At 40.8% G+C, this 13,597-nt stretch overlaps 3 pseudogenes, besides 2 other annotated features; all 3 read right to left on the bottom strand.

The window, feature by feature from the left end:
* Nucleotides 792-992: a silencer, noted in NCBI's record as "peak3478 fragment used in MPRA reporter construct". NCBI's record gives its function as "represses an SCP1 promoter by STARR-seq MPRAs in K562 erythroleukemia cells {active_cell/tissue: K562}" and the evidence as "EXISTENCE:reporter gene assay evidence [ECO:0000049][PMID:32103011]".
* RPS29P26 (ribosomal protein S29 pseudogene 26) lies at nucleotides 2,196-2,363 on the bottom strand (annotated as a pseudogene).
* Nucleotides 3,510-4,709: an enhancer, noted in NCBI's record as "MED14-independent group 3 enhancer chr19:40086129-40087328 (GRCh37/hg19 assembly coordinates)". NCBI's record gives its function as "activates an origin of replication core promoter dependent on BRD2, BRD4, P300/CBP and CDK7 cofactors, and independent of MED14, by STARR-seq in HCT116 cells {active_cell/tissue: HCT116}" and the evidence as "EXISTENCE:reporter gene assay evidence [ECO:0000049][PMID:35650434]".
* RPS29P25 (ribosomal protein S29 pseudogene 25) lies at nucleotides 9,047-9,217 on the bottom strand (annotated as a pseudogene).
* Nucleotides 11,073-11,243, bottom strand: RPS29P24 (ribosomal protein S29 pseudogene 24; annotated as a pseudogene).

Genomic DNA, 13,597 nt, shown 5'->3' with positions numbered 1-13,597 from the left:
TGTGTGTCTCTTTTCATACCGATACCATGCTGTTTTGGTTACTGTAGCCTTGTAGTATATTTTGAAGTTGGGTAATTTGATGCCTCCAGTTTTGTTCTTTTCACTTAGAATTGCCCCGGTTATTTGGCATTTTTTTGGTTCCATTTAAATTTTAAAATAATATTTCTTCTAATTCTGTGAAGAATGTCATTCATAGTTTGAGACAAATAGCCTTGCATCTAAATTTCTTTGGGCAGTATGGCTGTCTTAATGATAATTGGTTTTTCTTATCTATGAGCATGGAATGTTTTTCTATTTCTTTGTGTCATCTCTGGTTTCCTTGAGTAGTGTTTTGTAATTCTCATTGTAACGATCTTTTACCTCCCTGATTAGCTGTATTTTTAGGTGTTTTATTCTTTTTATGGCAAATTTGAATGGAATTGCATTCTTGATTTGTCCCTGTCGCTGTTGTTGGCATATAGGAGTTCTAGTGATTTTTGCATATTGATTTTGTATCCTGAAACTTTGCTAAAGTGGTTTACCAGCTTAAGGATCTTTCGGGTGAAGACTATGGAGTTTTCTAGATATAGAATCATGACATCTGCAAACAGGGATGGTTTGACCTCTCTTTGTATTTAGATACCCTTTCTTCTTTTCTCTTGCGTGATTGCTCTGGTCAGGCCTTCCAATATTATGTTAAATAGAAGTGAGGAGAGAGGGCACTGAAGAAATTGTGGTTTGAAAATCCAAGTTGAATTTCTGTTTTAGTCATCATGGAGGTTTTGTCTATGGTCTAGCAAATACAAAAGAAAACAAAACAAAATTCCTCTCTTACTCTGTCGTATTGGCTCCTCACTTTCAAATACAGGGCCTAATGCACCAATGCTCAGCACCACGGACAGCACCACAAGTGAAACAGCTTTGAGGGACAAGGACAATATTATCACCAAATAGATTTATTCCTTGGGAGGCTTCAACAAAAACTAAAAAGCCTAAATACCTTTGAGAATGAAAGCTTTAGAGTCCAAGTACGACTTTCTGTGTTTTGAGCATGCCGTATTTGCTGGGAGAAGATAGGGAATTTTGGTTGAGGAGTATGAAAATGATGTTGAGTAGGTCCCCAGAGGCAATTCAAAAATTCTTTGTTAAACATTGGCTCCTGAATTCTATGTCATCTCTTTGTGTCTGAGATGTCATCCTGGCCACCATGAGCAAAACGTATTACCTGAGATAAAAATGAGTGTAACAAATGGCCCATGTGAACAGAAATGAGCTGGTGAATGTCAGCCAAGAAATGGGAGTCACTGTGTGTGTTGCAAGGCCAGCATGTAGGACTCTGTAGGCCACTCAAATAAAATGGGTGTCATCCAGAGGCAAGCAGATATGAAATCAAACTCATGTTCTGCTCAGGAAGTCATAGATTCCAGGATAGTCTTCATCCTCTCAGAGAAAGAATTGCCTAAATCCCCAACAAATGAATTCCATGCTGGTGATGGAGCCTATAATCCACTATCAAAATACAGAATTGACCAGGACTGTGACAGGGATGGTGTAAGGAGGAGAGTGTACCTAATCAGAACCTGAGAGTTTCCAATGAGAGGGGAGGAAATTTCATTTTATACTGGAAAGAAACAAGGAAGAAAGGCATGAAGAGCATAATTCACTGTGCATTGATACCTCAAGGTATCCAGATGTTAGGTTAAAGAAGCAGTACAGAGAAAGGCATACCCATGAGTAAGGTTGGAGTTGAACAAGCTGTGGCAATGAACCTGGGGAGAGAGGATGACGATGATCAAAATGATGCCTGAGATTGGCCCAGCAGAAAAAAGGCTATTTGATGAGACTCTCTTCAATCATCCTTCGTTGACTTTTAGGAAATATGTTGTTTATCTTCTCCTAAATGGTTCTCTATATGCACTATGAAGTAGATAATCAAAACTCTTGTAGTGGAAAAAGGACTGTCATTCTGCCATCTTGGTAGGAGTTCCAAGAAGCTAAGAATGGAGGATGAAGCCAATTGCTGCAGGGAAACGTTCCCAGAGAAAATGAAAAAAGAGATCTTGTTGGTTTCCTCAGTGATATGGACCGTGACTGTGGTCTATTTTCTTTTCTGTACTTGTTTGTTTGTTTGTTTGAATTTTAAATTTATGTACAAAGAGCTAACACGGTTTCTTTCGTTGTGTGGATGCCTTGGTTATCCATTCAAAGAAGACCTCTTAGTCCAACTTAATGAAATGTATGTTTTTAAAGTACTTATGGAAACACTGGGGGCACACATTGAGGTAGTATTTCCGGAACAGACTATGCTGGTTTGAGCAGATGCGACAAGAGTGAGAACCCAGGCTGAATTTTCATAAGTGGCTCTAGTAGAGCTGCTGGTGACCCCTCTTGCTTCTCAGAGTGCTATGAGGCAAAAGGTGCCATTTGTTATCTTTTGCCCCTCTAAAATAGTTGTGTTAACTGCATTTTCCTTTGTCTGTTTCAGTCTTGTGTGATTGATTTGTATAGGGCAAATATGTATCCCTTTGGTGCATATTTTGAGAGAAAGTGCACCTGACAGTTTGTAGTCTCCTCATGGACATCTGAGAGTAATTGGATGATAAGATGCTGGACTTCAATCTGAGCTGCCTCCTGTAATTGTATTGCTTTCAGTAGTTCCTTACAGGGTTAGAGTTTTTAGTATGTGGGAAGTGTGTAAGCCTATATACACACTTACACATATAAGTGTGGAACTGCGTGGAAATAGTTGCCAAGGATGACCTCTCAGGATCTACAAGTCAAAATAACCAAAGCTTGTGGATTCCTCTTTGATTTGGGCTGCCTGCATGACTCAACTTGATCAATATAATGTCATAGAAGTGACAATGTCTGCCTTTCAAAGCTATGTACTCTAATGCCCTACACCTTCTCCTTGAGCCTTTCAGAAGGCTTTAGTTGGTGGAAGCCAATCACCATCCATTAAGTCCAAGAACTATGAGACTCTCATGATTTGAGGAAATTCAAGGCACTAATGGAGAGTTTAGACAAAGAAGGAGATAACCAGCCAGCCCCCAGGTGTTTACTCAGCCCTAGTGTTGAGTCAGACATGAGTGAAGCATCCCCTGGAATCCCAGACCACAGATTCTTTGGAAAATGTGACTCCCAGCACATGATCTACCAACCTCATAAGTCCAGTAAACCTGCAAAGCTGGGAGAGATCAGAATAAATGGTTGCTTTCAGCTAATATGTGTTGGAAGGCTTGCTGTGCTGCAATGTCTAAATGTAACAGCAGCAAAGCAGAGTCTCCTCACTGTGCCTGTGTGTAGTATGAATTGTGTCTATTACAACAATAAACTACATATTTTCTGATCTGAAAACCATGACCACTTGTTTCCAAAGAGAAATCCCAGAATTCTGTCCACATAAATTGAAAAAATATTTCAAGTATTTAGAAACAAGAATAATCAGGATCATTGAAAGAAATCATTAAACTTTTGTGATTCTCTAACTACTGCTTGGAGCAAAATTTTTATGTGGGTAATTTGCCTTTTTTTTTTTTTTTTTTTTTGAGACAGAGTCTTACTCTGTCACCCAGATTGGAGTGTAGTGGCGTGTACTCGGCTCACTGCCACCTCTGCCTGCTGGGTTCAAGTGATTCTCATGCCTCACCCTTCCAACTAGCTGGAATTACAGGCGCTTGCTGCCACGCCCAGCCAATTTTTGTATTATTAGTAGAGACGGCATCGCCATGTTGGGCAGTCTGGTCTCACACTCCTCACTTCAAGTGATCTGCCCACCGTGGTCTCCGAAAGTGATGGAATTACAGGCGTAAGCCACCACGCCTGGCCAGGAATTTGTCATCTGTTTCTAAAGTTCCCTCATGGCAGTCTGCACAGAGTGAGGCACAGTGTTCATATACAGTAAGCATCCTTGGAACAACGGGTAGAATTATGATATTCCACCTGATTGTCCTAATGTTACAGTTTCTTCTTAAAACTACCAGTTATACCTGTGTGGCTGTAAACAGCTACCCAACATTTGCAATGAGTCATCTGAGATTGAGTAAGGGTTTTAGTTGAGTGCTTGATGTCAACTATGTGCTATAGAAGGATGCCGTTTTTAATTTCTCAGACATTCCAGGGACCGTGTTACTCACTCCTTGAGTCATAGGAAGGTTTTTACTCTTTGATGTCTTAATGCTTCCCATGTAATCTTTCAGCGCCTGTCGGGATGACTATCAAATCCTGGAAAATTTGCCGAACTTTTAATGACCAAGTGTATAGAAAGGATTGAGGAGGGATTATTCTGTTAACAGGCTCTGGGAATCCCATGGTCTTGTAGAAAGAGGGATTCCTCAACAACAAGGATTGTGGTCATCTCTTTCAACTGCACATAGATGTTGAGCTCATGGAGACATCTCCACATCCAGAGCATATTCACAGATGCTTGCAGGAGTTGATGGGCAAATATGTAACAGTGTTGGCCATTTACCATTACCTACAAAAGGAAAAAATGCATCAGAAAGACAGTACACCACCAAACCAAACAAACTTTCAGCCTCCTCTCCACTCTGTCCTAGTACTACAACTTCCCCTGAGAAAACTCCTAGTCAGACAACTGAACCCAGTAGACAAGCTTCTGTTGAGGCTCTACCACTCCATGTCATAAGGTCCCTGTTTGCTCAGCCTCCCCTCTAGCCTAGAAGATTTCCATGGCAAGGGACTGTGCCCATGAACTTGAATTCCTGCATCTTGCACATGGCCACTCACAGGGTTAGTCCTCGACAATGTTCATTGAATGCATTCATTTCAGCTCCATGAACCATGACTGCCATTCACTGTTGAGCAGTAGCCCAAATTTGGGCTAATGGTGGCAGAAAATGAAACCCAAGCATTCTTACAAAGGTAAAGCAGGACAGGTATTATAAAACACAGGATATTATCTTTAACAACTTCTAAGCATATGAAAAGATCCATTACTCCATTACCCGGAGCTGGTTTTTTGAAAAGATCAACAAAGTTGATAGACCGCTAGCAAGACTAATAAAGAAGAAAAACAGAAGAATCAAACAGACCCAATAAAAAATGATAAAGGGGATATCACCACCAATCCCGCGGAAATACAAACTACCATCAGAGAATACTATAAACACCTCTATGCAAATACACTAGAAATCTGAAGAAATGGATAAATTCCTCAACACATACACCCTCCCAAGACTAAACCAGGAAGAAGTTGAATCTCTGTATAGACCAATAACAGGCTCTGAAATTGAGGCAATAATTAATAGCCTACCAACCAAAAAAGTCCAGGACCACAGGGATTCACAGCCAAATTCTACCAGAGGTACAAGGAGGAGCTAGTACCATTCTTTCTGAAACTATTCCAATCAATAGAAAAAGAGGGAATCCTCCCTAACTCATTTTATGAGGCCAGCATCATCCTGATACCAAAGCCTGGCAGAGACACAACCAAAAAAGAGAATTTAAGACAAATATCCCTGATGAACATCCATGCAAAAATCCTCAATAAAATACTGGCAAACTGAATCCAGCAGCACATCAAGAAGCTTATTCACCAAGATCAAGTGGGCTTCATCCCTGGGATGCAAGGCTGGTTCAACGTACGCAAATCAATAAACGTAATCCAGCGTATAAACAGAACCAAAGACGAAAACCACATGATTATCTCAATAGATGCAGAAAAGACCTTTGACAAAATTCAACAACCTTCATGCTAAAAACTCTCAATAAATTAGGTATTGGTGGGACGTATCTCAAAATAATGAGAGTTATTTATGACAAATCCACAGCGAATATCATACTGAATGGGCAAAAACTGGAAGCATTCCATTTGAAAACTGGCACAAGACAGGGATGCCTCTCTCACCACTCCTATTCAACATAGTGTTGGAAGTTCTGGTCAGGGCAATCAGGCAGGAGAAAGAAATAAAGGGTATTCAACTTACCTGTAGCTCTGACATTTTTGCTTCCTCTGGGCAACTTCGGAATTGTGTCCGGGCTTCTGTGTGAATCTTTGAGTTGCAGCATTTAAATGGTCCCTGTAAACCATGCCCTCTGCTTTCATTCCTGATTCCAATTTCCTCTCAGCAAGCTTCCCTTGCAGGGTGAGAAAGGCTCAGCTGTCAGGAAGAAACTCAGTTAAAACCATAGCTGTTTGCAGGCCTGTGTCTGTAATGCAGCGAAATTATACTGGGAGAGGTACTAGGCTGTGGATTGGGTTACCAGGGAAATGCAAGCATAATGATGAGGGAGCAAGGAAGAATGATTTTAAAGCACAGCCTTTGTGCCCCTCAAACCTTTTCTACACCGGAGAGAATCTACCCGGAAGATATACATTTTCTCAATTTGTACAAAAATAAATTTTTTTAAGGTGAGGATTCTTGGTAAAGTCGTTGGCTCTAGAAGGTAATCATTCTTTCTGCCTTTAAACATTCTGGGACAGCACTGATCTTGATCCTCAGGATGATCTGGGAGAGAGGTAGAGAAAGTCCTGGCATGAACCTGCCCCACCCTAGGCCCATTGGCTCTACCAGGTGAGGGCTGCTCTCATCTGTCTGTCACACATCTGGGCTCTAGCTATACCCTCTCCTTTCTCTTGGTGTCCATGTAAATCAAAGTTTCAGGGATACTGGTTGTGCTGCAGATTCCAGAAGAAAGATGAGATTATTTTTTTCTTTGTTTTTTAAACTTTTATTTTACATTCAGGGGTACATGTGCAGGAAAACTCGTGTCATGGGCGTTTGTGGTACAGATCATTTAATCATCCAGTTGCTAAGCCTAGAACCCAATAGTCATTTTTTCAGCTCCTGTCCCATCTTTCACCCTCCACTCTCAAGTAGGCCCCGGTGCGTGTTGTTCCCCTCTTGGTGTCCATGAGCCTCATCATTTAGCTCACACTTCTAAGTGAGAACATGCAGCATTTCATTTTTTGTTTCCACATTTGTTTGCTAAGGAAAATGGTCTACAGCTCCATCCATGTTTCTGCAAAAGACATAATCTCATTCTTTTTTGAGGCTGCATAGAATACTATGGTGTATATGTACCACATTTTCTCTATCCAGTCTGTCCTCCATGGGCATTGAGGTTGATTCCATGTTTTTGCCATTGTGAATACTGTGGTAATAAACATTCACATGCACATGTTTTTATGGTAGAATGATTTATATTCTTCTCGGTATATACCCAGTGATGGGATACATGGGTTAAATGGTAGTTCTATTTTAGCTGTTTGAAGAATCATCACATTGCTTTCCACCATGGTTAAACTAATACCACCAACAATGTGTAAGTGTTCCCTTTTCTTTACAAGCTTGCTAGCATCTGTTATTTTTTGACTTTTGAAGAGTAGCCATTCTGATTGGTGAGAGATGGTATTTCATTGTGGTTTTGATTTGCATTTTTCTAACATTCAGGGATGTTGAGCTTCTTTTCATATGCTTTTTGGCCACATGTATGTCTTCTTTTGAGAAGTGTCTGTTCCTGTCCTTTGTCTACTTTTCTTTGAGACAGGGTCTCACTCTGACACCCAGGCTGAAGTGCAGCGGAGCAATCTCGGCTCACTGCAATTTGTGCCTGGGCTCAGGTGATCCTCCCAGTTCAGCCTTCTGAGTAGCTGGGATTACTGGTGCATGGGGTAACATTTGCCTAATTTTTCTAATTTTGTAGAGATAGGGTTTCACCATGTTGTCCAGGCTGGTCTCTCCTGGGCTCAAGCGATGCACCTGCCTCAGCCACTTAAAGTGCTGAAATTACAAGCATGAGCCACCGCATTCAGCCCTTTGCCTACTTTTATTTTGAGATCGAGTCTCGCTCTGTCGCCCAGGCTGGAGTGTAGTGGCGCGATCTCGGCTCACTGCAACAACTGCCTTCGGGTTCAAGAGATTCTCCTTCCTCAGCCTGTCGAGTAGCTGGGACTACAGGTGCGTGCCACCACACCCGGCTAATTTTTTGTATTTTCAGTAGAGAAGGGTTTCACCATGTTAGCCGGAATGGTCTCAATCTCCTGACCTCGTGATCCGCTCTCCTCCACCTCATAAAGCGCTGGGATTACAGGCGTGAGCCACCACGCCCGGCCCCTTTGCCCACTTTTTTATGCAGTTGTTTGTTCTTTTCTTGTAAAGTAATTACAATTCCTTATAGATGCTAGATATAAGACCTTTTTCAGATACATAATTTGCAAATATTTTCTCCAATTCTGTAGGTTGTCTGTTGACTCTGTTGATAGTTTCCGTTGCTGTGCAGAAGCTCTTTAGTTTAAATAGATCCATTTGTCAATTTTTGCTTTTCTTGTGATTGCTTTTGGCATCTTTGTTATGAAACTTTTCCCCATTCCTACATTTAGAATGATATTGCCTAGGTAGACTTCCAGGGTTTTTATAGTTTTGGGTTTTACATTTAAGTCTTAAAACCCCTCTTGAATTGATTTTTTCTACATAATGCAAGGAAGGGATTCAGTTTCAATCATCTGCATATGGCTACCAGTTATCCCAAAACCATTTCTTGAAGAGAAAGTTCATTTTCCAGTGCTTGTTTGGTCAGCTTTGTTAAAGATCAGATGGTTGTAGGTGTGTGACCTTATTTCTGGGCTCTCTATTCTGTCCCACTTGTCTATGTGTCTGTTTTTGTACCAGTACCATACTGTTCAGTTACTGTGGCCCTGTAGTATACTTTTAAGTTGGGTAAAGTGATGCTTCTAGCTTTGTTCTTTTTGTTTAGAATTGTCTTTTTTAATCAACTCATTCTTGGTTCCATGTGCATTTTAAAATAGTTTTTTTTTTTCTAATTCTGTGAGAAATGTCATTGGTAGTTCAATAGGAATAGCATTGAATATGTATATTTCTTTGGGCAGCATGGCTGTTTTAATGATAATGATTCTTGCTATTCATGAGCATGGAGTGTTTTTCCATTGGTTTGGGTCATCTATGTTTTTTTAGGCAGTGTTTTGAAATTATCCTTGTAACGATCTTTCACCCACTGGTTAGCTTTCTCTCATTGAGTGGATTTCTTTCATTGACTGTTTCTTTCATTGAGTGGATGTCTTGCTTATAAATTGAAGGCAGATCACTTAGCCTAACCTAATGAAACCTATATCCTTTAAGTACTTATGGAAACAGAAGTGGCACACATCGAGTCAATATTTTTGGATAAGGTCATGCTGGTTTAAGCAGATGTAACAAGAGTGAGAACCCTGGCTAAATTTTTGTGGGTGGCTCCAGTAGAGCTATTGGTGACCCATTTTACTTTCAGGTTGTAGTTTATTATTCCTAGGTATTTTATTTTTTATGGCAATTGTGAATGGAATTGAACTTCTGATTTGGCCATATGCTTACGTGTTGTTGGCATATAGGAGTTCTAGTGATTTTTGCACATTGGTTTTGTATCCTGAAAGTTTGCTAAAGTTGTTTACCAGCTTGAGGATCATTTGGGTGGAGACTATGAGGTTTTCTAGATAGGAAATCATGTCTACAAACAAGGATGGTTTGACCTCTCTTCCTGTTTGGATGCCCTTTCTTTCTTTCTCTTGCCTGATTGCTCTGGCCAGGACTTCCAAAACTATGTTGAATAGGAGGGGTGAGAGAGGGCACTGCAGAAATTGGGGTCTGAAGATCCAAATTCAATTCCTGCTCCATTCATTATACATATTTTGAGCTGTGATTTATCAAATACAAAACAAAACAAAAAATTTATGTTAATTCTGTCTTATTGGCCCCTCACTTGCAAATACAGGCCCAGAAGCACCAGTGCCCAGTACCACGGACAGCACCTTAGAGGAAACAGCTTTAGGGGACTTGGGCATCAAGGACAACATTAGCAGAGTAGATTTATTCTTTGGGGGCTTTCATCAAAAACTGAAAAGCCCTACAGACCTTTCAGAAGGCAAGGCTTTAGAGTCCAGAAATGCTGTGTTCTGAGCAATGCTGTGTTTGCTGGGAGAAGACCATGAATTCCGGTTTATCTGTATGAAAAATATGTTGAGTAGGTCCCCAGAGGCAAATCAAAAATCGTTTGTTGAACATTGATTCCTGGACTCTATGCCTTCTCTTTTCATCTCAGACATCTCTCTTGGCCACCAAGAGCACAGGGCAGCAGCTGGTATAAAGATAAGTGTAACAAAAGGCTTATATGAACTGAACTGAGCTGGTGAATATCAGTCAAGAAAAGGCAGTCACTGTGTGTTTGCCTGGCAGGGACAGCATGTAGGACCCTGTAAGCTATTCAAATACAATGGGCATCAACCAGGGGCATGTAGATATGAAATCAAACTCGTGTTCTGATCAGAAAGTCATGGGTTCCAAGATTGTCTTTATCCACTGAGAGCAAGAATTGTCTAATTCCCCAAAAAATGATTTCCATGCTGATGAGGGGGCCTGTGATCCATCATCAAAACAGAGAAGTGAACAAAACTGTGAGAGGGAAGATATAAGGAGGAGAATGTGTCTAACAAGAACCTGAGACTCCCCAGTGAGAATGAAGGGAATTTCAGTTCATACAGGAAAGAAACAAGAAAGAGAGGCATGAGAGTGTTATTTACTGTGCATTGACACCTAAAGGTATCTGGATGTTAGGTTAAAGGAGGGCAAAACGGGAGGCATACCCATGAGTAAGGTTGGAGTTGAACAAACTGTGGCAAGGAACATGAGAACGGAGAATGAGGATGATCAAAATGATGCCTTAGATGGGCCCTGCAGACAAAGAGGCTATTTGTTGAGACCCTCTTCAATCTGCATTGTTTGGCTTTTAGGTAATATGTTGTTTATCTTCTCCTAAATGGTTCTCTATTTGTGTCATGAAATAGGTGACAACAGCTCTTGTAGCAGGAAAAGGGTTTTCATTGTGCCATCTTTGTGGGAGCTCTAAGACACTGACAGTAGAAGGTGGAGACAACTGTGGCAGAGAAACATTTTCAGAGAAGATGCAAATGGGGGTCTTGTTGGTTTCAGCAATGATATGGACCAGTGATGGCTGCCTTTTTTGTCTTTTTTTTTTTTTGAATTGGTTTCTTTGTTTTAATTTTTTTTTTCATGTACAAAGAGCTAGCATGGTTTCTTTCACTGAGTGGATGTCTTGCTTATAAATTGAAGGAAGATCACTTAGTCTAACCTAATGAAATCTATATCCTTTAAGCACTTATGGAAACAGAAGCGGCACATATCAAGACAACATTTTCGGAATAGGTCATGCTGGTTTGAGCAGATGCAATAAGAGTGAGAACCCTGGCTGAATTTTTGTGGGTGGCTCCAGTAGAGCTATTGGTGACCCACCTTGCTTTCAGTTTTGTTGTTTATTATCTTTTGCCCCTCTAAAATAAGTGTGTTCACTGCATTTTCCTATATCTGTTTTAGTCTTGTATGTTTAATTTTATAGGGCAGATAATATATTTCTTTAGTGCATATGTTGAAAGTGCACCTGATAATTTGTAGTCACCTCATGGACACCAGATCCTGATTGGATGATAAAATACTAGACTTCAATCTGAGCCTGTTCCTGTAAACATGTTGCCTTCAGTGGTTCCTTACAGGATTGGTATCCTTGATATATGAGAAGCTTGTAAGCCAGTGAGGACCGAGTGGAAATAATTGCCAAGGATGCTCCTTCATGACCACATGTCACAATAACCACAGCTTATGAAGTTCCCTTCCTTTGATTTGGGCTGTGTGTATGGCTCACTTTGATCAATATAATGTCATAGAAGTGACACTGTCTGCCTTTCAAAGCTAGGTCCTATGATACCTTGCACCTTCTTCCTGAGCCTTTTGGGAGGCTTGCTTTGGTGGAAGCCTATCATCATTCAGTCCAAGAAACAGGAGACTCTCATGATTTGAGGGAATTCAAGGCATGAATTTGGAGGTGAGGTAGGAAAGGAAATAACCAGCCAGCCCCAGGTGTTCGCCCAGCCCTAGTGTTGAGTCAGACATGAGTGAAGCATCCTCTGGAATCACAGCCTGAAATATCCTTCAGAAAACGTCACTTTCACTACATGATCTACCACCCACATGAGTCCAGTTAACTGAGCAAGATCAGAAGAAAAGATTGCTCTAAGCCAACATGTGTTGGGAGGTTTGCTGTGCTGCAATGCCTAGTGAAACAGCAACAAAGCAAGGTCTGCTCACTGTGTCCATATGTATGAATTGTGTTCATCCCAACAATAAACTACATATTTTCTGATCTAAAACCATAACCATTTATTTTTAAATAGAAATTCAAGGATTCTGCCACTTACATCAGAAAAATCTCGCTATTATTTTTAAACATCAACAATTGGGGTTCTTTAAGGGAAATCTTGGGACTCTTGTGATTCTCTAACTATTGCTTGGATTGAAGTTTTCATGTGGGAAGTGTGTCTGTTTCTAAAGTTTCTGCATGGTAGCCTGTACAAAGCCAGGCACCGTGATTACACAATAAATATCCTGAGAACAATGGAAATAATTAGAAAATTCCACCAGATTGTCCTCAAGTTACAAAATTTCTCCCCAAAGCCTCGAGGTACACCTGTGAGGCTTTAAACAGCTACCTAACATTTCAGTGCAGTGAGTCATCTAAGATTGGGTAAGGTATTTGTCTCAGAGTCTCTGATGTCAACAATGTGCTGTAGAAAGATGCCGTACATAATGACTTCTAAGACATTCTAAGGACCTTGTCACTCCCGGAGTCACAAGAAGGTTTATCCACTTTGGTTTCTGGATGCCTCCCATAAAGTTCCTTGGGCCTTCTTGAGGATGATGACTTCCTCTTTCCCCATTAAAGCAAGAACCAAATCCTGGGAAGTGTGGTGATGTTTTAATGACCAAGTGCAGGGGAAAGGGTGAGGAGAGACCATGCTGTCAGTAGGCTCTGGGGATTCTGTGGTCACATAGAAAGAGGGATTCCATGGCGAAGGATATGAACAGACGCTTCTCAAAAGAAGATATTTATGCAGCCAAAAGACACGTGAAAAAATTATCATCATCACTGGCCACCAGAGAAATGCAAATCAAAACCACAATGAGATACCATCTTATACCAGTTAGAATGGCAATCATTAAAAAGCCAGGAGACAACAGGTCTCCTGGAGAGGATGTGGAGAAATAGGAACACTTTTACACTGTTGGTGGGACTGTAAACTAGTTCAACCATTGTGGAAGTCAGTGTGGCGATTCCTCAGGGATCTAGAACTAGAAATACCATTTGACCCAACCATCCCATTACTGGGTATATACCCAAAGGATTATAAATCATGCTGCTATAAAGACACATGCACACGTATGTTTATTGAGGCACTATTCACAATAGCAAAGACTTGGAACCAAGCCAAATGTCCAACAATGATAGACTGGATTAAGAAAATGTGGCACATATACAGCATGGAATACTATGCAGCCATAAAAACTGATGAATTCATGTCCTTTGTAGGGACATGGATGAAGCTGGAAACCATCATTCTCAGCAAACTATCACAAGGACAAAAAACCAAACACTGCATGTTCTCACTCATAGGTGGGAATTGAACAATGAGAACACATGGACACAGGAAGGGGAACATCACACACCAGGGCATGTTGTGGGGTGGGGGGAGTGGGGAGGGATAGCATTAGGAGATATATCTAATGTTAAATGATGAGTTAATGGGTGCAGCACA

This window comes from Homo sapiens, chromosome 19 (genome assembly GCF_000001405.40).
Source record: "Homo sapiens chromosome 19, GRCh38.p14 Primary Assembly".
Taxonomy (NCBI): Eukaryota; Metazoa; Chordata; class Mammalia; order Primates; family Hominidae; genus Homo; species Homo sapiens.
Note: the sequence above shows the minus strand (reverse complement) of the source record. Positions and strands in the feature narration are given on the sequence as shown.